The sequence below is a fragment of the Homo sapiens genome, chromosome 3 (assembly GCF_000001405.40).
Source record: "Homo sapiens chromosome 3, GRCh38.p14 Primary Assembly".
In the NCBI taxonomy this organism is placed as follows: Eukaryota; Metazoa; Chordata; class Mammalia; order Primates; family Hominidae; genus Homo; species Homo sapiens.
This window is the reverse complement of record NC_000003.12, coordinates 154,118,754-154,145,166: the sequence shown is the minus strand read 5'-3', so window position 1 is coordinate 154,145,166 and position 26,413 is coordinate 154,118,754. Positions and strand designations below refer to the sequence as shown.

At 40.5% G+C, this 26,413-nt stretch overlaps 1 protein-coding gene and 1 long non-coding RNA gene across 6 annotated transcripts in view; one reads left to right on the top strand and one right to left on the bottom strand.

The window, feature by feature from the left end:
- The window catches only part of ARHGEF26 (Rho guanine nucleotide exchange factor 26), a 136,823-nt gene extending 112,659 nt beyond the window's left edge, over positions 1-24,164 (bottom strand). For 4 of the 5 annotated variants that reach the window (NM_015595.4, NM_001251963.2, XM_011512672.2 and 1 more), the window contains exons 1-4: positions 23,648-23,777; positions 22,092-23,225; positions 20,718-20,757; positions 15,448-15,593 (exon numbers count right to left, since the gene is read on the bottom strand). In NM_015595.4, the coding sequence (NP_056410.3) occupies positions 15,448-15,593; positions 20,718-20,757; positions 22,092-23,174 (1,269 nt within the window). In that variant the 5' untranslated portion in view covers positions 23,175-23,225; positions 23,648-23,777. Of the gene's footprint in view, positions 1-15,447; positions 15,594-20,717; positions 20,758-22,091; positions 23,226-23,647; positions 23,778-23,931 lie in introns of those variants that run through there. The other variant, NM_001251962.2, reaches the window with a different exon arrangement.
- ARHGEF26-AS1 (ARHGEF26 antisense RNA 1) overlaps positions 23,957-26,413 on the top strand; it is a 96,810-nt gene continuing 94,353 nt past the window's right edge. Inside the window, exon 1 of the long non-coding RNA NR_037901.1 lies at positions 23,957-24,095. This is a non-coding gene — a long non-coding RNA (ARHGEF26 antisense RNA 1). The remainder of the gene's footprint in view (positions 24,096-26,413) is intronic.

Below are 26,413 nucleotides of genomic sequence, written 5' to 3'. Positions count from 1 at the left end.
AAGAGTGTCCTCTGTAACCAGACCCAATAGGCTCTCTTTAACCCCACTACATCCACAAGGAAAGGTTCTAAGACATCACTTTTCCTAGCTAGGAGCTGCCACAGAACACAAATTTCAAAGGGCCAGAGATCTGCATAACCAAACACTAGACATGAGGTCAAGATGGGTCATCCTTCTGGGGAGTGGTGGGTAAACAGAGAGAGAGAACGCTTTTTTTAAGGAAAGAAAAAGTAGAAGGATAATAGCACATATCATAAAATCATATGCTTAATTTAAAAATGCATCAGGTAATATGCCAGTGACATCCAAATTAATTTGTTCAAAAAGCTGATCTCTCTGATGTCCTATTGTTAAGCTTAATTCTATAATCCTCAAAAAAGTGTTTGAATCTCAAGAAATAGCAAGTACTCAGCCTCAAGCAGGCAACATCGAGTTTGCTAAAATAATGGAAAACTCAGATAAAGCAGACCAGGACACTTGCTCCTCTATGCCCTGCATCACCATCTACAGACAGAGCCAGGATTCCTGAATGAATCCAAATCATTTCAATACAGACATGAGGCTGAGAATACAAACTACAGATAAGTAATTAAATGCACAAGAATGAACTGCTGTGCTTTGTACATTTAGGAAATAAACGTGCATTACTTCATTTGCAGCCAGCACTCACCAGCTTGCTACCCATGTCTTGTCAATTCCTGATTCAGAGTTCTGGTTGGTTCTCAATTTATTTCTCAAACTACCATTATATCAAATGTTTACCATGAACCAGGTACTGTTCCTTCCATGCATCTAAACCCTGTAACAATTCTGTGAGGAAGGCATTACTATCCCTAGTTTACAAATAAAGAACGGAGACACAGAAAAGTTAAGTCATTCACCCTAATAATTGGAAAGCTGAGATTCAAACTTGGGCCGGCCTGTCCACCCCCAAAGCCTGAGCTCTTAATCACTGTAGCACACTGCCTTCTAAAACTTCAGAGTTTTTAAGAGCTGTGCAAGCTACTCTTCCCCTAAATTAAGTTGCTCCCCCTGAATGCCCCAGAAACAACATCTCTCATTGGCTTCCTGGCTTCTGCTGCAGTGAAAGCTAAGCTGTCAGCAGGGCTCCCTGGTCATTTAACTTGTTGATCAATCCTGACATTTCTACCACCAAACAAATTCCTCTTTTCCTTGTGGCTCTCTCTAACCTGCATTTCCCGCTGTGGGCTACTGAGCCTGGACTAAAATTTATGTATTCTCTATCCCCCAAATGAGCAAGAGATGCAGTTCTCATGTATCTATCAGCTAAATTAAGAAGAGAAAATGAGGTTAACAAATACATGAAAAGCTAATGACACAGAAGTAACAAGGATGAAAGGGAATAAATTCAGGGTAAAGGGCAATTCTATAATTTAACCGAAGACTAACAATTTTTAAACGTGCACTATTTAATAAAATACTGGGGGACAGACCAGACTTATAGCAGTGGTTAACAGCTGAGGGGTTGGGAATGGTGGTAAAGTTAAGCAGCTTTCAGTCTTAACTGTTACATTTAATATTTTAATAAGGAGAATGTATTTCTTTTACTTCAGTAGTTCAAAAATAATTATTTTAAAAAACTTAATCAGCCTTAAATTTTGAATTTTAAATTGAAAAATTAGAAACACACACATGATTAACAACAAGAAATTGGTTAAAAGAGCTAAACATCCACTTATTTGAGGAGCTAGTATGTGGGCTTTAAAAAGGTTGTAGAAGAATATTTAATGACATAGAAGGTCATTCATAACACTGTTAAAAAAAGGTGACAAAACAGCAGGCTTAATAACATGAAAAGATATTTACGACACTGTTAAGGGAAAAAAGTGACAAAACTATTACTACATTATTGATTTTTGCGTAAAAGACAATCCTTCTATATATTTTTAAATCTGAAAAGTTATAGACAAAAATGTTAATAGTGATTGAATAGAAAGAGATAGTTCAATTTTTTTATCTATTGGTACTTTCTGATTTTTCTGTAATAAACATGTCTTGGCTTTGCAATTAAAGCAACACTTCGAATAACAAAAACTAAAATACTACTTCAACATCCTCTCCCAAAAAAGAAACAAAACGAGTAGGGCAGACAAGTAGAACTGTTTAAAGGTGCCAATAATACCTCTATTTCTTTGTTGCTGCCCCAAAGAGAAACTAGAGAAATGAGAGATGACCACCTGTAGATAAAAGAAATGAGAAGCTAAGGTAAAGGGAGGCAATAAGAAAGAAAGATTTTAATCAAGTCCAAACTGAGCAATAGCTTATGAGGCAGTGCTGAAAATGAGTGATGACAGGCCAATCTGCAAGCATGAGAGATAAAGGAGGATAAAGGAGTCTGCGTAACTGAGAATGATGCCATTTACACATAGTGAAGGTATGAGTCAAGGGGTTAAGGAAGGTACAACAGGTCTGATGTTCCTCTCTTGCGGAAGAAAAGAACACCTATTTCTAAAGGTGATGCCAATATATTAGTTGCTATTTTATTTTTGCTTGCTATTTTTGTAAAATGACCAGTGGATAGGAATGAGAAACTCCAAAACAATAAGCTACTTAGAACAACAGCGACTCTGAATTTCTGAGATTTTGCAATAAAAATCTAACCTGAGCAAAATCTGTTTCTGAAAAATGGGTAATAGAGTAAACTGATGCTTTCCATTAGATGTACAAAGCAGGCAGTGGTTTCTTTGGACAGGAATTACCTTATTGTACGGAGATCTGAGAAACAGACACAGAAGTCCTATCTTTCTTCTTCCCTTTGCCTACCTATCAAGCTTTATTGGCTGGGCGCAGTGACTCACGCCTGTAATCCCAGCACTTTGGGAGGCCAAGGCAAGTGGATCACTTGAGGCCAGGAGTTCGAGACCAGCCTGGCCAACATGGTGAAATCCTGTCTTCCTATCTCTACCTTAAAAGAAAAAAAAAAAAAGAAAAAGTTTTATTCAAGCAATTTACACCTTCATTACTTTTATTTTCTCCTCTTCTGCCCAAATAGCCCATCTAGTTTAAGTTACATCCTATAGACAAAACTTTCCTCATCTTCACTTCACTGCTTTCTGTGATTTCAACTGTGTCATTCACTTTGGCATTCTGTCCTACATCCTTTCAAAATATCATTCAGACATTTCATTTCTATTGTCTTCTGCTCTAGGTTCTAAGCTCCTGGAGGGTAGGCTGGGTTTTAGCCTTGTTTTGTTTGCCTCATTCACTACAGTGCAGTGGAAAACAAATGAATTTTGGAGTCAGATATTACCACTGTTCAAATTATAAGTTATAAACTGGCATTGAATGCAAAATAAAGTCTTATCATGAAGTGATCGTTATCTATTTAAATGTAACAGAACAGAAAAAAATTAAAAATACTATAGTACACTGCAAGCAGAAGTATAAAGTAACTCCTGCCTTGTAAAATTTCTTTGAGATATATACACACATACATATGTGCAAACATACACATTCAGACACACATACTGGTTTATAAGGTAAAACATATTTCTTATCATGTTAAGCTGCTGATAAAGACCATGGTTACAATGTCCACTCCATGATGTATAAATTTACACTAGACAAAAGTCAGTCAGTCATGTCGTTTAACACTTCCATGGACCTCTACAAGAAAAACCATTCTACTCACAGCCTCTGCAAAAGCAGCAGCCCCAAGGGACCACATTTTGTGCCATAGTACATCATGGAGGCCAAAGCTGACTGGAGCAGAGTTAGTTAAGCACCTAGCTAAATGACAATACATGTTCTAGTGACCTATTAAGCGGGGGCAAAGTAGCTGAGCCAATATAATTCTCTTTCTCAAGGAACTAAACTGGGCAACTAAACTGTGTAACTCACTTTGGCATTCTGGCCTACATCCTTTCAAAAATAGGATGGAAGGCCAGGCACGGTGGCTCTCACCTATAATCCCGGCATTTTGGGAGGCCGAGGCGGGCGGAAAACGAGGTCAGGAGATAGAGACCATCCTGGCTAACACGGTGAAACCCCGTCTCTACTAAAAATACAAAAAAAAAATCAGCCGGGCAAGGTGGCAGCCGCCTGTAGTCCCAGCTACTCAGGAGGCTGAGGCAGGAGAACTGCGTGAACCCAGGAGGCGGAGCTGGCAGTGAGCTGAGATTGTGCCACTGCACTCCAGCCTGGGCGACAGAGCAAGACTCCATCTCAAAAAAAAAATAGGATGGAAGCTGAAAGAGTGACTTGAGGGAAGGACAGGGCTGTTAACACAGTCTCAAGTGCTCAAGTGTAAGTTATGAGAACTCAGAGGCTGGGCATGGTGGCTCATGCCTGTAATCCCAGCATTTTGGGAAGCCGAGGCGAGCAGATAACCTGAGCTTAGCAGTTCGAGACCAGCCTGACCAACATAACAAAACCCTGTCTCTATTAAAAATACAAAAATTAGCCGGGCGTGGTGGCGTGTGCCTGTAATCCCACCTCCTCAGGAGGCTGAGGCAGAAGAATCGCTTATGGGAGGCGGAGGTTGCAGTGAACTGAGATCGTGCCACTGCACTCCAGCCTGGGCAACAGAGTTAGACTATCTCAAAAAAAAAAAAAAAAGCACTCAGAAACCCTGAGTATTCAGGAGCTTTCAGGAAAAAGACAAGCATAGTAAAAAGGGAAAATAAGCCAATTTATGAGAAGAAAAAAAAGCCCAAGTCAGAGTTGCAGTCACATTATTGGCTGAGCACCTGGGAGAAACATAGTTCCTGCTCTTCCAGAGCCCTAGGTACATGTATCCATCTTTTGAGGTCACTGCAGAGGCTGTTCCAAGTAATCTCAAGACCTTAACTAGCAGCCGCATTTAACATCCTGGCCTCTCAGCTGACTTGTTACAAAGTAAAGAATTTGTACTTACCCTCGTGGCATTGTCCCGGGACTACATAAACTGTATCTGAAATTACCTAACACAATCCTGGTACACAATAAGTCTCCTGCAAATATGTGGTCAGTAATTTAACTGCATGTAAACAAATCAATACTGTGATGATCCCAGAGCTAACAGCTATCCTGCAACTCAGTCTGCTCATTCAGAACTTTGGACCCATGTGGATATAAGGGCTCCCTGTTGCCCAGGTGGGCACACAACAATCAGACTCCTTTGCACTCCACTACCAGAAGCAGGGTTTCTAACCAGGCTAAGTGGAAATTGCTCCATTTTTGTATTATTATAGTTGGATAGGCTTATTTCCTACAAAGAGGGAAATAATCTGCAATTTTATTTTACTGTCAATAATACTTCCTGCTACAGAAGTTGTCCACTGACTGTATAGTTCTTATCTCCTCAAAATAATAGAAATATAGATAATAAACATCCTAATATTAAGATATTAGAGTACAGGCTAATAATCTAGAGAATTAACAGGCTATATGTGCTCCAGATAAATCCACAAAATTTGAGTAACAAATTTTTAAGGATTCCTTATTTAAAGATTCAATAGTAATTTTAAAGGTGACAACACTCTCCAATCATCATGGAGACCAACCACTGTGTGGATGTGGCCCTGAGAAATAGCCCTATCTTTGGACTGAGGAAGGAGACCCCACAAGAGGATACATTAAGCTCAACAGGGCAAATACAAGAATCCCATAGATGAATCTGCAATCCAAAGTCAGTATGAAAAAGCCTTTCTATGCAGTTATTCAGAACTCTTCAACATCCCTGAGCCTTCTCTTCCTACAGACTGCTATTATTCTTGAATGTATCCCTTCCAACTCCCCAAAAGAAATAGCTAGTTGAGAATAAGTCCAAAATTTAATTCGATTTCATAGTAAGCAATAACTTGGAAGTCATCCGAGTATATGATATATTTAAAAGTACAAGATTGATAAAACCACCACATGAGTGCAGGTAAGAGAAGAGGCCCAAGGATGAGCCCAGGGGCCCTCCAAAATTTAGAGAACAGAGGAATGAGGAAAAACCCACAAAGGAGATCAAGATGTTCCAGCTGCACTGGCCTTATCCCAACTCCTCTTACCCACCATCACCCCAAATGTCTGTGCACATGACATTTTCTCTACCTGAGACTCTTCTACCCTGCCACTCCCCAACTGTGCCCCACCAGCTATCGTCCTGGACCCTCCAGATGACAGCTCACATTACCTCCTCTGACACCTGCTCTCCACTGACCGCACCTTGCCCAGACAGGTGCTCTTTTCTAGAAGATCTTGCAGCAGCACCAGTAAGTCATTCACAGCTTTACCACAATAGTAATTATGCATTTATCTATGGGATGATTTGATATCTGACATCTGTCTCGCCATTCAGGTTGTTTACAAGGACATGAATGCAAGGTGGAGTCTGTTCTTGCTCTATCTCCAGGGCCTGCCATAGACAGAACTTCATGTGGGGCAGGCCCTTGATGAAGACAATGAATTCATCAATCTCTCTCATCGATTTTCTACTCAATGAAGTAAGAAGACCCTCTCTGTCTGGACCCTGTTGTAGGTTTGTAGTTGAAACATCTGCCTTTGTAGTTATGCCCATAACAATTAACTAACCGTGTTTTCATCTCCTCCTGCTTTCTTGGAGCACCTGTCATTTCTGATCTCTGCCTACCCTCGGGCAACTGGTGCACACACCCCCATATCCCAACACTTCACTGTTCTCTCAGAAGAATCAATTACATAAATATTGGCAGATCTACCACTCAGTTGCCCTTTAATTAGTGAGCTCCAACCAGAGTAGTTTTTTCCTCAATCTCTGTCTATATTTTTAGGAGTTACATAAAGTTCCAACGCTGCAACAATGCAGATACAGAAAAACTTTTTAAAGTGATATTAACAACATGGAAACTGTACTCAATACATAACAAGCTACACTAAGGTGCTCCTAGTATTTGGAAATAAAGTCAAGAAAAAAATACTCTCCAACTAAAACTGAAAAAACAAAAATTATTAAAAAAATTTACATGTATACATGTGTGCATTTTTCTACAGAGAAAGCCTATGGCTCATAATTTTTATTAGATTCTTAAAGCATGTATGACACTCCCCCAGTAAAGATGGCTAAATGCATATCCATCCTATGTATTAATGCAGTTATAACACTGTAGATCATGTGTAGATATGAAATGACTTATAAGACACATAGTGCAGAAAAGAAACAAGCTGTATATTATAAATAGTCTGTATATTTACATAAATATGGGTAATCTATATTGTTTCCTTAAATGTATATATGTGGATTTTCAGAAGAGTATTGCCAAATTGAGAGCAGCATTATCTATGGAGAAGGGGATAGAGACTGGGATTGCACAAATGACCAAAAGAGCCTTTAGTCTAATCTGAAATGTCCCAATTCTTCTTCTTCTCTTCTTCTTTTTTTTTTTTTTTAAGAGATAGGGGTCTCACTATGTTGCCCAGGCTGGTCTCAAACTCCTGGGCTCAAGAGATCCTCCTGCCTCAGCCTTCCAAAGTTCTGAGATTACAGGCAGGACCCACTGTACCTGGTCCAAAATGTCTGAATTATTCTCTACATGAAGGACATATTATATATTGCTTACATAAGTCAAGTTAATTTTCAGAAATGTACCATAATCTAATTATACATAAAAAGCAAGACCACATACAGAGCCCAGTCCCTGGCCCAAGCTAAGTAGTCCCCCACCTTTATCTCTCTTAGCTAGAGTAGTAATTCTAATTGGGGTATGTCTTAGTCCGTTTTGGGGTGCTTACAACAGAATACCTGAAATTGGGTAATTTATAAAGCAAAGAAATTTATCTCCTACAGTTATAGAGGCTAAGAAGTTCCAGGCTGAGGGGCTACATTTGGTGAGAGCCTTCTTGCCGGTGGGGACACTCTGAAGAGCCCCGAAGTGGTGCAGGGTATCATATGGCAAGGAGGCTAAGCATGCTAACGAGCTAGCTCAGGTCTCTCTTCCTCTTCCTATAAAGCCACCTGCTCCCCTCCCATGATAATTCATTAATCCATTAGCCCAGTAATCTGCGGCTGTTAATCTATTCACGCAGGCAGAGCCCTCATGATCTAATTACTTCTTAAAGGCTCCACCTCTCAATACTGCTACATCAGGAATTAAATTTCCATATGAGTTTTGGAGGGGAAAAATATCCAAACCATGGATCTCAGGTCTAGGCACATGGGCCTCTATTTTTGTTTATAAAGACACAAGGATTCCAGAAGACCCACAAGCCAACTTGAAAATGTGGACTAGTATGTGCTTGCAGTTCTGTTTAAACCATGATGTGAGCTAAATGTGAGCCAGTTATAAAAAGTGAAAATAATTTTCCATATCTTATACACACACAAAAAAAGATATGGTAAAAGGTTTTAGTCACCATCTAAAGTAAAAAAATAATCTTATGAGACTGCTGCGTTGCCAAACTGTAAATGAAAAATTATAAAACTACAGAAATTACTATTTTAAGCAACAAGTCACAAACAACTGAAAATTCAGACAAATGTGAAAATTTAGGGAAAAGAATAAGTTTAAATGCATTAAGCATTTCTGCAAACAGAATGACATTCAGGTATATTACATTTGTTGAGCTCTGATTTTTACTAGAAAATAGTATGTCTTTCACAATAAGCACAGAGTAAATTCTAAAATAATAAGTCCCATCACCTCAAACTACTAAGATGCCAAAGTGTCTGCTGCATTTTCAATGGAATGAAATGATATTTATAATAAAATTCCTGCTTTTCAAATCTTCCTTTCTCATCCTGCAATTCCAGAAAGTCTCCCACAGGTACACTATGTGTGCTTTAAGAGCTGAGCCCAGAACCAGAGACTGAGGTCTGAATTCTAGATCTCCCATTGCACTGTTAGTCACACTTAGCACAGAGCTGAAAAATACTTTAATTAAAATACTTTAGTTAAAATATTTTAATTAAAATTAAAATACTTTACTTAAAATACTTTAATTAAAATTAAAATACTTTAGTTAAAATATTTTAATTAAAATTAAAATACTTTAAGAAATCAAACCATTTCTGACTACAGAGTTCAAAATATTTGAGCAAACTGAAGAAACATTCCAATGACTTAAGATTACTGATAAAGCCACATGTCAGCAAGTACAAAAGAAGAGTGCAGTAGAGGATGACTCTATTAGGTGCTGAACAGAGAACACCCTTTTCAAAGGTATCTGGCATTTCAAGGTGATGGAAATTACACAAACGCACCCCATGGCAAATAAATCAGGTCAGGGCACAGCTGGCAAATATGGTTTTGGTTCCATCACCGAACTTAACATAACAAACACTGGTGTTGCAACAGTCATTTCTTCATACATGCATAGTACATGATCTTGGAGAGGTGGAGGGGGTACTTACAGTGAAAAGCAAAAACTCTAGTCAAAATCTATCTAAAAGAAAAGACAATAAATACTTCCGGGGTCCTACTAATGAATGAACCCTTTGGAAAACCTGAAGTTCAGCTGACTACACACCTGGCATTAACTGTAACAAGTACACAGTGTTCCATCCCTGACTAATACAATCAATATTTTCCTTCAAACCCACATGCTTTTCCCAGAGATCCAAGAACTGCTGGCTTAATGTTTGTGCTGCTGTTTTGGGTGAGGCACCGGTGATTTACCTGCGTGCAGCAGGGTTTTTGTCTCTGAGTAGAGTTCCAGATAATCTCCAGGGGTCAAAACTTACTTTTCAAAGTCATTGAGGTTTCAAAACCTCAAATCCCTTCCACATTTGACCAACCCAAACTGGGAACTACGACCATTAACATTATTTCAGGACAAGGGGGATATTACCACTGACCCCACAGAAATACAAACAACCATCAGAAAACATTATGAATACCTCTAGGCACATAAAGTAGAAAATCGAGAAGAAATGGATAAATTCGTGAACACATATACCCTCCCAAGACTGAACTAGGGAGAAATCAAATCCCTGAAGAGACCAATCACGATTTCTGAAATTGAGGCAGTAATAAATAGCCTACCAGCCAAGAAAAGCCCAGGACCAAGCAGATTCATAGCTAAATTCTACCAGATGTAAAAAGAACTGGTACCATTCCTACTGAAACTATTCCAAAAAAAATTGGAGAAGAGGAACTCCTCTCTCATTCTATGAGGCCAGCATCATCCTGATACTAAAACCTGGCAGAGATACAACAACAAAAGAAAAAAACTTCAAGCCAATATCCTTAATGAACATCCATGCAAAAATCCTCAACAAAATATGGCAAATCAAATCCAGCAGCACATCAAAAAGCTTATCCACCATGATCAACTAGGCTTTATCCATGGGATGCAAGGTTGGTTCAACATGCACAAATCAATAAATATTATTCATCATATAAACAGAACTAAAGACAAAAACCATGATTATCTCAATAGATGCAGAAAAGGCTTTTGATAAAATTCAACATTGATTCATGTTAAAAAAAAAAACCTCAATAAACTAGGTATTGAAGGAAAATACCTCAAAATAATAAGAGCCATATATTACAAACCCATCACCAACATCATACTAAATGGGCAAAAGCTGAAAGCACTCCCCTTGAAAACCAGCACAAGATAAGGATGCCGTCTCTCACCACTCCTATTCAATATAGTTGATATGGTTTGTCTGTTTCCCTGCCCAAATCTCATATTGAATTCCCACATGTTGTTGGGGGGACCAGGTGGGAGTTAAGTGATCATGGGGGCCAGTCTTTCCTGTGCTGTTCTCATGATAGTGAGTAAGTCTCACGAGATCTGATGGTTTTAAAAACGGAAGTTTCTCTGCACAAGCTCTCTCTTTGCCTGCTGCCATCCACATAAGGCGTGACTTGCTCCTCCTGGCCTTCCACCATTGTGGAAGCCTCCCCAGAGTCCTCCCCAGACACAGGGGACTGTAAGCCCATTGAACCCTTTTTCCTGTATAAATTACCCAGTCTCAGGGATGTCTTTATCAGCAGCATGAAAACGGACTAATACAATAGTACTGGAAGTCCTGGCCAGTGCAATCTGGCAAGAGAAAGAAAGGAAGAAAGAAAGAAAGGGTATTCAAATAGTAAGAAAGAAAGTCAAACTATCCCTGTCTGCAGATGACATGATCCTATATATGGAAAACCCCATAGTCTCAGCCGGAAAGCTTCTTAAGCTGATAAAAAAAACTTCAGCAAAGTCTCAGGATACGAAATCGATGTGCAAAGATCACTAGCATTTCTATACACCAACAACAGTCAAGCCAAGAGCCAGATCAGGAACAAACTGCCATTCACAATTGCCACAAAAAAATAAGATACCTAGGAATATAGCTAATTAGGGAGGTGAAAGATCTCTACAAGTACAAAACACTGCTCAAAGAAATCAGGGATGACATAAACAAATGGACAAATATTCCATGCTTATGGACAGGAAAAATGAATATCATTAAAATGGCCATACTGCCCAAAGCAATTTATAGATTCAATCCTATTCCTACTAAACTAGCATTGAGATTCTTCACAAACTGGAAAAAAACTATTCTAAAATCCATATGGAACCAAAAAATAGCCAAGAAAATCCTAAGCAAAAGAATAAAGCCGGAGGCATCACACTACCTGACTTCAAACTACACTACAGGGCTACAGTAACCAAACAGCATGATACTGGTACAAAAACAGACACACAAACCAATGGAACAGAAAAAAGAGCCCAGAAATAAGGCTGCACACCTACAACTATCTGATCTTCTACAAACCTGCCAGATCAGATAGTTGTAGGTGTGCAGCCTTATTTCTTTAGTCCTAATATAGAAGTCTGTGGCTCATTATTCTATTGAGGCTCAGTTAAACAAATGACTATCATTTATTATTCTACTGAGGCCCAACTAAATAAATGCCTCTTCTAATTCTCCTTTATTCCTAAATGACAACACTACAGTTAAACCTGTCCCAACACCATAAATGGGGAACCACCTGTCATCTGTATAGCTGAACACTGCCTTACCCAGCATGGTCCAATGAAACCAAAGGAAACATAAACACGCCCAGACAAATTACAGCACAGACTCAAGGCTTAAAGATCTTACGTAACAACCATAAATTACTGCAAATTGCTGCACTTCAAAAGTATTCAGCATACTGAATGCTTCTTATAGTCAACTGATAAGGATAGTTTCACCATCCCAGGAGGCAGGCATTTGCAATAAAAAGATTTTTTAGAAAATAAAACAACACCGGCTAATGCACATGTGCACTCACTCCCTACCCTCCTTAGCAGGAAGTGAAGGTATATGCCGAACTGAGACCTAACCCACTGCCAGAAAACCCCTTGTCTTTAAGAAGAGTTTTGCATTAAAATGTTATACTCAAAATTAGACGGGCTACCTTACTATTTTGATTATTAAAATTAAGCATGGAAGGATGATTTTATATACGTAGATGATGCTAGGTTTAATATATACATTATACTAGGTATTTATATATATAGACCTCCAACTCTATATATACACACACATATATATTTATATATTACATATTAAAGCTGAATATATATATTAAAGTTGAAAGTCTTCTGAGACCTGCCCTAAACGCTGCAGCTTCACTACCAGGAGGGGTCAGATAGAGAAATAGAGGTGCCGATCACTTTTGAGAAACATCCTGACATTGTTAATGATGCACGAAGCCTCCGCTCGTTAGGGTCCTAAATACAACTTGAAAATTTAGTAGCAGATGAGCTTCTAAAAAGGTAATGGCTGCTTTCTGGTGTTAAAATATCTACTTTCCTAAAAGCCAGAACTGGTTATATCTTTTTGGTGGACAGAAAACCCTCATGGGAAGGACAGAAGAGAACGTCAGGGATAGTGGTTATCTCTGGGGAGGTAGGAAGGAGAAAAGAACTGGAAAGGAAGGAGGGGTTCGCTGTAATAGTCTAAAAAAATAGAAAATGAAGCAAATATGTTAAAATATTAACATTTGTTCAATCTGAGTGATAGGTACACAGAAATTGATTAACTTTATTTATTTTTTAATTTTTCTATGGGTTTAAAGCACTTTATAACAAAAAAAATTAAAGTAAAATGTAAGTGAAAAGAAGACACAAAAGGCACAAAGAAATGCAGGCTGGTGCCTAAGTAATGCTAAGTGGCCAAGTCCAATCATGCTGCTTTCATTAAATTTAATTGCCAAGCAACACAATAAACACACACAAGCCTCCCGGGAACACTCAACTCCAAGATAACATACACTAAAATCAGAAATCACTTTATAGTTTTACATTTTATTACAAGATAGTTCTATGATATCAATATCATTTACAAAAGACACAACATTCATTTTTTGCCAAATAAAATGCAAGTCCATAAACAAAGTTGAACTGAAGGATATGCACTATTATTTAATTGTATATACATTTGTTCATGTATATGAAAGCCAAACTCCAGGAGGCATAAATATGGCAGCCTGTTTCTTGGGCTAAACTGAGATCAGGGTGTAACTGACATAAAAATCCACATTTCTTTTTAGCATTCTTTCAGAGACCAACAGCACGATTTAGGCCTGTGCTAACAAACCCAGCTGCTGCCACAGAGAGAAAACAAAAAATTCACAGCCTTCTTTCTTCTCCTGGATCCTCTACCAAATGGTCCATACCAACAACTGAATGAACTGAATGACAGCCATTTAGAGCCAACATGGCCTCAATGGACCTTGTCATCAGTTTTTCCACATATCTGTTTTGGGATACACATATCATGAGATCATTAGATTAGGGTATAAGGCTGCTAATAAACCAATTCTGTGGCTAGCTTTTACCACCTAACCACATGCAAAAATTTTAAAAATATCACAGAAGTTACAAACTGTTAGCATAGAGGGCAAATCTGAATACTTTCTTGGACACACAACATTTCTTTAAAATTTGAGTTGAGAAAATACTCATAAAAGTCTGGATTTGTACATTCTCTTTTCTAATTATCAGAACATCTGGTCACACTGAGCCCCTGCACTCACCTGGTTTGAGCTAAGTAGTAGCTGCTCAATTTATATAAGGCCTGTTCACCACAGCTCCCACCACTCCCTATCACCTACATATACCAGCATCACATATTCATTCTACTTCCCCTGACACTGTGAATATTTTAATTTTTGGCATAATCATAAGGGTGCTATACCTCAGAGGCCCTGGAAATGAACAGATTCTCCTGAGAACAAAATTAGGAGGTGGGAAGAAGACAGGGAGAAAGCGCTTGGTGTATTGAATTTTGAATTCCAATACAGGTTAGAAGAGGGAAGGTAGAGCTTGAAGCAGAAGTTGTCTCCCACCGTTTACATACACATATTCCCACGGCCCTGGCTATACAGCACCAACATTAACAACTCCTTTTCTTACACCAGTGGGTTCCCTAAATACACAAGATTCCTGATTCTAAACATCTCTGTCACCTCTGCTCTGATATTGCCTAAGGACTCATGGAGGTGTACTGGCTTGTTTTTGATGCAAAGCTCCCCTGAACCAAGCCAGCCATGGGAATTCCTTTCTACTTGCTAATTCATCAGATATTCGCAAATGCTGTGCCCAAACTCTTATCAAGTAAACTAAGCATCAAACTGTGACATTGTAAGCCAGGAGGAAAAAAATATACAGTTAAAAAACAAAAGGTGTCTGATGCAGAGAGGAGAAATTACTCATCAACACAAAATTAAGTGTCAGAGACAGGCATACAAAAAAGGCACAGAGATGGAACAGAATATCATTCATTAATCAGCTTTAAGAATATATAAACATTTCTATATCAAATTAAATTTCCAAGGAAGGGCTAGATGCGGTGGCTCATGCCTGTAATCCCAGCACTTTGGGAGGCTGAGGCAGGCGGATCACTAGAGGGCAGGAATTCAAGACCAGCCTGGCCAATACGGTGAAATCTCATCTCTACTAAAAATACAAAAATTAGCTGGGTATGGTGGCACACGCCTACAGTCCTAGCTACTCAGGAGGCTGAGGCAGGAGAATCACATGAACCTGGGAGACTGCAGTGAGCCGAGATCACGCCACTGAACTCCAGCCTGGGCGACAGAGCAAGACCTCATCTCAAAAAAAAAAAAAAAAATTTCCAAGGAAGAATTGTAACTAGCTTTCTATTGTGCAGAGATACATATACAGGTACATACATACATGTACATATACACGCATACATACATAAACACACACGCATATATATGTAAATAGCCATAATTATGATAAAGTGCAGGCTATATTTAACAAAAAGAGAGATCTCGCAGAAAGAGTTTCCAGAGGTCACAGTACATCAATCTCATAGCACTTTATTTTATCAAACCTAATTTTCCTGATCAGAAGTGTCAAAGTTCATGTTCTCATTAGTGCGGGCAGAGTTCCGAGAAACATTTCACAATCTAAAAAGAGTCTTTCTCCTTAGTTACAGGATCACTGGCAGAAAAGAACAAAAGCCAAATCCACACATAATTTCCAAAACTTGTTTTTTTCCTACCACAGATAGAAAAGAAGATAAACACTCACCGCAGAGAGTTGGCTCCATGTGGATCTCAATGGCTTATGGTGAATCACAATTTTTTCATCTGACTTCTGTTCTTTGGGCTCTGACTCTTCATCAGAATCAATGTCAAGGGCCTTTTCCTTGTAGTTTTGATACAGGACAGCATTTTCTGCAAGAAAACAAGGCCTATGTGTCACTAATTGTTCTCAATCATTATGTTACTTGTTCTAAATAAACATCATATGTACCCAATGTTTGGCCTCCAATTTTATAAACAGAGAGACAAACAGATTTAGTCCCTGAAGAATAATTACAGAAAAGTGATTTTCTCATTCACATAGCTCTATCTCAAACTCAACTGCAGGGGAAGGGGACCAGCCCATACAGAGAATGCCAACAGAAGCAGTTTCCATGTCTCTGTCCACTACTCATGAAGGACAGTCAGGCCTGTTAAATCACTGTAATTTAGGTTAAATTACATCCTATCTTTTATTTAAGGTCCATCACCATTCATTTATCTATTTAATAAACATTTATTGTGTATCTATGACGTGCCAAGGGCTGAGAGTAAAATGGAAAACAAAAGAAAGACACCTCTGATGCCTCATGAGCTCTCATGCCCTCATCCACCTCTCATGAGCTAACAGTTTAATTAAAAAAACTGTCAAATTCACTCATGCATTTATTCATTCAACTGTTACTTAGAAAACACCTACTAGGAACCGGCAACAGCTTAGCACGTGAAATACAATAATAGACACTAAAAATCTCAATATTCAGGAGCTGATACTAAAGCATGAGAGAACTGCAATAAATAAGCAAATAACTTTGATAGTATTTTGATGCTGATAAGTGTCATGAAGAAACATGAAACAGGGAAGGGGGGTAGAAAGCGCTGGGAGGAGGGCATGTAGATGTTAAGTAGGGTAGTTTAGGAAGGCCTCACTGGAGTGACAATTAAGTAAAGACATAGAACAGGTGAGAAAGTGAGCCACCTGTATCAAAACTACAAAGAAAAGGCCCTTGATGTTGACTCTGATGAAGAACTAGTGCCCAAACAGCATCTCATCAGGGACACAGCAAGTGCAAAGCCCTGGGGCATGAGTCTACTTGGTATGTCTGTATGTACCAAGAGCAGCAAGGAGGACTGCATGGCTGGAGTACAAGGAAATGGGGGGAAAGTACAGAAGATGGGAGTTGAGGCCGGCGGGCATGGTGGCTCACACTTGTAATCTCAGCACTTTGGGAGGCTGACATGGGCAGATCACTTGAGGTCAGGAGTTCGAGACCAGCCTGGGCAACATAGTGAGATCCTGCCTCTATCAAAAATACAACAAATTAGCCGAGTGTGGTGGTGCACCCCTGTGGTCCCAGCTACTCGGGAGGCTGAGGCAGAAGAACTGCTTGAACCTGGGAAGCAGAAGTTGCAGTGAGCCGAGATCATGCCACTACACTCCAGACTGGACCCCATCTCAAAATAAAAAAAAGAAGAAGAAGATGGGAGTTGTGGGTGACCAGAGGGCTGATCATGTAGGGCCTTGCCTCAGCCATTAAAGGACTTTGATTTTTACTCAAAATGTGATGGCAAGTCACTATAAGTTTGAGAACATAATGATCTTACACAAATACATACCTACAAACTGAAGGATTTATATAGAGGTGAGAACAGACTGTCAGTAGGGTGTGATCTAGTCTGGCAGTCAGATATTTGGTCAATGAGGAAAGTCTAAGGTCTGAAAGCTGAGAAGCTACAGAGCTACAGGAAAAGCATACACAAAAGCTATAATGCGAACATAAGAGGAAACATAATACAGTCACGCATTGCATAATATTGTTTTGATCAATGACAAACCACATCTACAACGGTGGTCCCATATGTTATAAAGGAGCTAAAAAATTCCTATCACCTAGCCATCTTAAATGTTGTAGTGTACCACATTACTCACATGTCTATGGTAATGCTGGTGTAAACAAACCGATTGTACTGCCAAAAATACAAAAGTATAGCACATACAATTATATACAGTTCATGATACTTGATAATGATAATAAACTATGTTACTGGTTTATGTATTTACTATACCATGCTTTTTATCATTATTTTAGAGTGCACTCCTACTTACCAAAAAAAAAAAAAAAAAATAGTTAACTGTGAAACAGCCTCAGGCAGGTCCTTCAGGAGGTATTCCAGAAGACACTGTTATCATTGATGACAGCCCCATGTATGTTACTGTCCCTGAAGACCTTCTTGTGGGACAAGATGTTGAGATGGAGAACAGTGACATTGATGATTCTGACCCTGTGCAGGCCTAGGCTAATGCATGTGTTTAGTTTCAACAAAAGAATTTAAAAAGTAAAAATGAAAATTTTTTACAATAGGAAAAAGCTTATGGAATAGGTATGTGAAGAAATAAAACATTTCTGTACAGTTGTACAATGTGTTTGTGTTTTAAGCTGTATTAAAACCAGAGTTGAAAAGATTCAAAAATTTTTAAATTTTACAAAATAAGTTACAGTAAGCTGAAGTTAATGATTGAAAAGTTTCTTTAAAATTTAATATAGCTTAAATGTACAGTATTTGTAAAGTCTACAATAGTGTACAGTAATGTTCTAGGCCTTCCCATTCACTCACTACTCATTTACTGACTCACCCAGGGCAACTTTCAGTACTGCAAGCTCCATTCACGGTAAGAGTCCTATAGAAGAGTACCATTTTTAATATTTTATATTGTATTTTTACTGTACTTTTCCTGTGCTTAGATACACAAATATCATTGTGTTACAACTGCCTACAGTATTCAGTACAGTAACATGCTGTACAGGTTTGGCTCTACCATATATCCTAGGCTATACCATCTGGTTTGTTTAAGTACGCTCTGTGATATTTGCACAACAACAAAACTGCCCAAGGGTGTATTTCTCAGAATGTATCCTCATCATTAAGTGATGCATGGCTGTATCTTAAAAGAACTAGGGAAAGTCAACGTGGCAAAAGCTTGGGTATGTCTAGTGGCCACAGTGTACAAGGTGAGTTTAGAGACATGAGCCAGACAGTCCAAATCAAGGAAATATTTGTAGGCAATGGTAAAAACTGGATTTCACCCTGAGTACAAAAGGATTGAGTTTCTTTCACACTGTCATGATAGCATTTCTTTCCTGAACACAATGGGACTCCATGAAAAGGAAAGACTTGCTTAGATTAGACAGCAAAACATTGACTACCTAGGAGACTAAGAAGCTATTGGGGTAGTCAACGAAAGATGATGGAGATTTGAGCTACATAACATAGAACAGACTGGTGAAAGACCGGATATGGGGGCAGAGAGAGGGAGGTGTTAAGGGTGTTTCCTAGGTCTGCAGGCCTCACAACCAGAAAGTAGGAGATGGGAACACCAGAAGAGATTCAGGTTTAGTGGGGAAGATTATGAGTTTGGTTTGGGGCATTTTGAGTTTGAACTGACTTTCCCATCTACCAAAACAAGCATGCATCTGCCCCTTTTCTCATCAACTACAGAATATTCTGTATGCACTATGACTAAAGTAACACTGGAGTCTATTCAAGATTTTACTGGTCTCTGATTGTCATGCTATGTAAAGCAGATTATGAGGGTAAAGGCTGAGTCTCCCCTAGTCTTCAAAGTACTAAGTAGTTGGCACAAAGTATATATGCATAACATTGTTGACAGATTTCTCATTCATTTTCACAACAACTTAGGCAACAGTATTATTAACCTCATTTCACACATGAGGTGGCTCAGTGAGGTCCCTGTGATATTAAGGGTTTTTCTCAGTATCACTTAACTGATGAACAGGAACAGCAAGACAGGAACCCAGGTCTGCCTGGCTCTAATATCACAGATTCTCACCATTTAGACACACTGCTTCTTTAGTTACATTCTTGTTAATCATTAACTGTAAGAATCCTGCATTCCTCATGTACATATGTATGTACATGAAAAAAATTTCTAGGTCATTATATTTGAGAAGAAATGAGAGGATACACAGAAACAGCTCCTTATAAAAGGAAATAACGTAAAACTAGTTATAATGAAGTCTACTCTCTGACTTCAAAAAAAATCTAAAAATTTTAAACTCTCTTAGGCAGAGGTCACAAAATAAATATCAAATTCCAGGGAATGTAAAGCATCTCCTTAGGTAAATATTAGGTAGATGCTGTTCACTTCATAGTCAGAGTGCTATAAGAAGCAGCAAACTGGACTAAGAACTCGATCTGTGTCCTACTACTGGCTGTGTAACTAGGTGTGACAGCAGACAGGTTACCAAACCTCTCAGATCTTCTGGTTTCCTCAATTATAAAATTAGGGAGATGAACTTATTCCAACCAGCTAAATACTATATCTGGATTTCCTAAGATTGGTGCGGTGAATGAATTTTTATAGATAAGTCATTTATAAATGTTCCAATGGGAAACTCATCTTTATAAAAATTATATAGGGAATTACTTGACAATCACCTAAGGCTACATATTTTATAACTCTGGGTGATTGTACATTTGCTTGACCTATGGAGGGGCACTCCCTTCTTTATTATTCTTTGAAGGTTGGAAAATCTTCACACTTCAAAACATGACAAAAATTTAACTACCCTCACTACCACCATGACCCTCTAGCCCAACAAGTGCTACAGCTGGGACTGCTCCCTTCATGCTCTTCCAGTTGGCTGACGCTTGACCCATCTATTTAAAAAAGTCCATTAATCTGATTAGGGTTTGAACACCTGGTTGAAGCTGCTTTTTTTTTTTTTGAGATCCTTAATAAAAATACTACATGGGTTGAAAAGTCTTAAGAATATGTTTTTGTCAGCCAGGAGAGTTAGAGTTTCCCCAAAGCTGAAACTTAATAAGGAAACAGGAAGTCAGAAATGATAATCAAATGTGGAAATATGGGCAGAATACTAAGTCAAAGGAAATGTGACCTAAAGAAATATGACTTCAGATCTAAATGCCAAAATCAGAATTTTTAACTAAAAAGCTAGATCTTGCTCTTACCCTTCCTGAGGAACATGGGGATGGAGCCAAGGTAGAGAAGAATTAAAAATCCCAGGACATCGACTGAAAAAGTTATCAGCCTATAAAAAATGCCATTAACTATATTCACCATTAGTATTACTAGATAAAAATTTAGCTTAGTGAGAAGCTTTGGACTGTATAATTTGAGAAGAAGTTGGACATATTTCTCATCGTAAGCATTTTTGTTACTGCAGTTGGATTTCAACTTATAATTGGTATTCCACATTGAAACAGCAATGAAAGTTTGGAAAATTAAATGCTTACCTTCCCCATCAAATGTTCCTTGTCCTTTCAGCATTTTTTTCTAAGAGACAAAAAAAAGTAAAAAAAAAAAAAAAAAAGGAAAAGCAAACTATGTATGAATGAGCCAAATAGAAAATACAGCTATTTTAAGTAAAAATACTTTTTTTTAGTCATTACATTAATTAGATTTCCAAGAGCGCACAGAAGCTGAGCCCTGGAGGAGTTCACTCATTTGATCACTACAATTCACTGAAACAATGAAATAAAATGTACAAGATCCCCCACACCCTGTCAAAACAGATTGAGAATCCTCAAATAACTAGCAGGTCAGCTCATTTTACAACTCGTGATTCACCATCACTGTTAAATTGAACTTTGCTATACTTGCAGAGTTGGAAAAAACACATAAAATGTTATGTAATTTATTTTCTTTAAGACCACGGGCTCTAAAATAAAACAGGCTTGCTTGTGTTTTGCATATGTGCCATTTATATAGACTGGTTCCAGTGCTCTGATTAACCAAGAAAAAATGTGGCTGCCAAAAAGAATCTGCCTTATTGCTGAAACCTGTGTTGTTTCTGTGGAAGGAAGCACACACTCCAAAATACCCCTCTTCAGTTTTCCCTGTTTCTTTATGTCATATTTGACAATATTTTAATAAGTGCAGCTAATGGGACAATATAGGGGAGCAATACCACACAGTGTCCACCCTAACCTTAAGTTTTCAGCTGCCAATCTGTTACATGCACTCAAGGATGAATGGGCATACAACGGGAATAAAACACAACCAAAGGCCACGGTGACAAAAACAAGCAACAAAAAAGATGACAAAATATTTATGTCTTTTGTGATCCTGGCAACTGATTTTCAAATTCACATTCTACCTGAATGACATCAAGTGCGTAGTAACCACTCAAAATTCAGTAAGTAAAAGCAAAAAATAATCAACAGGCTCAAACAGGAATCAGTATTTTTCTGAATCAGCTGTGATAACAGCTATCATTGACTGAAACCTCTAAGCAAACTCCAGACAACTTGACTGCAGAGTGCGGTTCTGAACATGCTCCTCCCCCTTTCAGCTATCTCTTTTAAAAGTGGTAAAGACTCACTCAGCCAATAATCTGCCATATTTCACTCTTGTCCCCCCCAATTCTGCCTGAGCTTAGAAATTTAAAAGTGATGAATTTCACTTCTTCCCACAAAGTTGCACTAAACTCGGCTGTGCCTGCCAGCATCAAAGTGGCCAAGAGCTGGATGTACACTAGCAATCAAGAGCAAAACACAGAATTAAAACGGAATGACTTCTTCGGGTTTCCTCTACGCTCCTCCTCCCCACTCCCAACACATTTACTTTCCGCTTAGTGAATGGCGTGCCACACTCCTGCCCACTTTTACCTTTATCCTTCCCAGACTGGAAAACTTCTCCTTGTCTTCCATCACCACTTTCAGAACAGGCTGGGACATTCTGTTCTTCTTCTTCGAGCTGGTAGGACTGTCAAAATCAAAGCCACTGACCACTGCCCTGCGATAAGACGTGGACCGCAAGCCTCTCCGCAGAGACCCTGGGCTATCCACGTCGTTATCGACCTCACTCTCCTCCCCTGCGTGACCCAGGGGTCCTCCTAGGCCCTCCACCATGCTGCGCACCTTGAGGAGTCTCTTGTGGGGCTCCACATTTTGATTGTTGGATTTACTTATTTTAATTTCCGAGGCCAGACTCTTCGGAATGATCTGCTGCTTCCCCACTTTGAGGGCGGCGGGGCTGTTTGTACTCAAAACCACGGAAGGATTCTCGAGGAGCTCGTTCTCCTGGGAGGGCAGCCTTTGGAGGGGGAGTTTTTGTTCCGAAGAACTTTTCTGGGGCCCAGGAAAGAGCCCCCGTTCGGGGTCCTTTGCCTTCCGGCCGGACTGCGAACCTGACCCAGGAGAGTCGTTATTAGCGGCAAGGCCATTTGCAGTGGGCGAAGGCACCGGGCTGGCAGTCAACCCAGTAAGGTCCTCCTCGGGGGTGCAGGGGGCGGGCGCGTTAGGAGTCCGCGGGGGGCGCAGAACCGGCGGCGGCGGCGGCGCAGGCAAGGTCACCGCGCCATTTGCTGGGGATTTCGGGGAGCCGCCAGGCACCGCTTTGGGGAGCTTGGGTGACTTGGGCCGTCGAAGTCGAGGAGAGGCAGCCCTGTACTCCGGGGATGCCGTCCCACCATTGGCCACCGCTCTCCGCTGGGCGCCCAGAAGCAGGGGGCTCCTATGTACCGTCCTGCTGTCCGAGGCGGTGGGCACCTGGGCGGGAATCTGCGCTGCGAGGAGCGTCCCTCCGTCCTCCACCGGGAAATCCGTAATTAGTAACCCGTTGGGGCTCTGGTAGGACTGGGGCCTCGGCTTGCTCCGGCCCAGAACCTGGTGGGGCTGAGGAATCGACCGCCTCCGCCACAAAGGGGTTATGCTGTTGCTAGAAAAATCCACCTCGCTCTCGCCGTCCATAGCCGGGCCTCGAAGTCAGCGCCGGGAGGAGCAACACCGAGTTAGTCTTGCCTAAAGAGGAAAGAAGTTAGGAAACTGTGCCTCTGGACAACCGGGGACGCCTGGCCGACTCGCGTGCTCCCAGACCGGCGGTCCCCCTGCTGCTGCGCAGGACACGACTGCACCGCACTTACCCGCCCTTTCTCGGGCAAAAACTGCACCACTGCGGTGCGCGGTTCCCGGCAGAAATCTGGGCTGCCGCCCAGGCGGATTAATCCAATCACCTCCGCGTCCCTCCCGCGCCAAAAGACCACCCGCAGCAAATGAGCCCGCCACCCATTCACTGAGTGCAAGCCGAGGCACAAGAAACTTGGGACGAGTTCAGCTTTCTTGGGAAACTCGCCGCGGGACGCTCCCTTCTGTCGCCATCCAGCCTCCCGCCCTCATCATGGGTACCCTCGCGCTCCAGGTGCGCGGCTCCCACGCAAATTTACCTTCTGGGGCTTGCAATGTCCGGGGCCGAGGAGCACCCACTACCCCGTGGGTGGCCCGGGTCCGGGACCGAAGCGCAGCCGCGAGAGCTTAGGAGAGCGCTGCCGCCGACCGCGGCGCCGGCGCCGGCCCGCCCCCACGCCTGACTACGCCCCCACACTTGGCCCCGCCCCCGTTTCGGCCCCGCCCAGATCCGCCTCCATCGCAGCCAGAAGCAAGAAGCTGTCTTCCCGCCCCCGCGTGCCTACAATCAGCCCCAGTCTCCCTGGGAAACCGACGAGCGCACCTGAGCTGGGTTCTGAGCTCCAGCGTTTTGGGGCTAGAAGTTGCGGACTAGTAGCTGAGGCGGCACGGGAGTGTAGGCGCGCGGGGTCGTTGCCGGGGGCACAGAGTGAGAACAAGCAAGGGAGCCCTGCTGAATTGCAGCTTAGGAAGCCCTGAATCCTGGAGGTGCGTTGAAACCGAGAACGCGCGGCGTAGTAGACTTTGTGAGATGCGTGGGCAGTAGCGCAGAGTTCTAACGCAGAGTCATGCCCTCTCAGCATTCAGGTGGTCTTAAATCAGATGGGCTCGTCCCAGTGCTGAAAATGCATTATAATATAAACAGATAGATGGGCTTGTTTGTGCCTAGAGTCTTTCCGTAGGAAAGACTGGCAGCTCTGAAGAGGGAAACTGGGTGGCTAGGAAACCGGAGGGAGGGAGAGTTTTCATATAATTATTTTTGGTCCTTGTATGCTTTGCATCTTGAAACCTATCTGTGAAAAATAAGCTCAATTTACACTACAAAAAAAGTATTGGTTTCCAACAGTACATAGAATAAAACTCAAAATCCTTAGCATGGCTTACAAGACACTTCACTACTGCCCTACTTCTTCAGCCTAGTCTTTCCTCCATCACTTTCTTCATTATTTTTTTGGCCACACTCAAAGTTTGACAGCCTCATAACCTTCCCTTTCGTTCCTTCTTGACCCGACTTGTCACTGCGTCAGAAAGGCCTTCCCTGTCCCCTCCTTAATTATACCATTGCCCCGTTTATTTTCCCAGCCACTTGTTCTCTTCTATTTTTGCACTTATAAAATTTTGTATATATATATATTTATGTGTTTATGTTTATTGTCTTTTGTCTTTACACAGTAATTTGCATGAGGGCAGGGGTCATGTTTTTTTTTCTTCTCCGTATTTCCGGCACATGGTGGGCACTTAATATTTATTTAATGAGTGAGAGAATGAATGACAGGAATGAAGTGAAAACAGTGACCATTCCTTCCAAAGTGCTTGGTTGTCAAATAGTAGAAAGATGGCTGTGTCTTGGCCAGGCTCCTGCTGTGTGACAATAATGAGGCAAACTTGAGAAGACAAATAATTTTAGACCATAAGAGCTGTATAATTGATTCTATTAGCAAGACAAATGGGCCCTTCTCCAAGTTCTCTTTCTGCATTCATGCATTCAGCAGGGATGCAGTGAGCATCCACTGTGTGCAAGTTATGCTGCCTGTTTTTGCCCTAGATTGAATGCAATGGCCAAAAATATTAAGATGTGATCTCTGGGTGGTGAGATGAAGGATAGTATGTTTCATGCTGCTTTATATTTTTCTATACTTAACGAAATATCCTGGACAATGAAGATATATTACTTTGATCTGAGACATTTTCATAAACAAAGAAAAAAAGAAACGGCATCGAAAAATGTATAAGAAACTTTTTTTTTTTTAGACGGAGTTTTGCTCTTGTTGCCCAGGCTGGAGTCCAATGATGCGATCTCGGCTCACCGCAACCTCCGCCTTCAGGGTTCAAGCAATTCTCCTGCCTCAGCCTCCCGAGTAGCTGGGATTACAGGCATGTACCACCACGCGCGGCTAATTTTGTATTTTTAGTAGAGACAGGGTTTCTCCATGTTGGTCAGGGTGGTCTCGAACTCCCAATTTCAGGTGATCCACCCACCTTGGCCTCCCAAAGTGCTGGGAATTGCAGGTGTGAGCCACCGCTCCTGGCCTAAGAAAATTTTTAAGAAAGAAATTTTCCACATTGGGTGGAAGACATGGCTGATTACATACTCACATGTAGGTACATAGACTTTTTTTTTAATATAAGGTGTTTTCTATACCAACATGTATTGCTGTTATATTGGGGAAATATAATAAATTAATTTCAGAAGTGGTTACCGACTGACAAATGGAGTATTCACCTAATTCAAAATGCAACCTGTGACCTATGTTAAGAAGCTGTAAAAGGTGATGTGAGAAGGTGGCTTTTCTTGAAATTATGTTGCTTCTACAAACAAGTATAACCAATATTTGTGACGACTTCATAGGATCTTCTTACCTCATTTCCAACAGACAACAAAATACCTACCAAAACAACAACAAAACACCAAGCTCTGGTCCTTCACTGAGGGAAGTTTACAAACTCACAGACCTAGTGCCTATTCAATTTATTGTTATCTATTCAAATCTAACCTATCTTCAATTATATGTTCCACTCAAAAGAAAGGAAAAGAGCTGCTAATAAAACTATGACAATATGTTATGTCATATCGAATTTTTACTTTATACTTAGTGCTTTTAGACACTTATACATAGATTTGCTTAGTACTGTGTGTATGTAGGAAAGGAAAATATAAGCAAAATGAATTTACCAAAGTCCCGAACATTGAGCCTGATTCTTCTGAATACCTTTTCATGAAAAGCATTCATGTGTGTTTTTCCACACAATATTGTTGATAGTGCACCATTTCTTAAAAGGATGTTCCAATCTTGTTTCTGGGATTT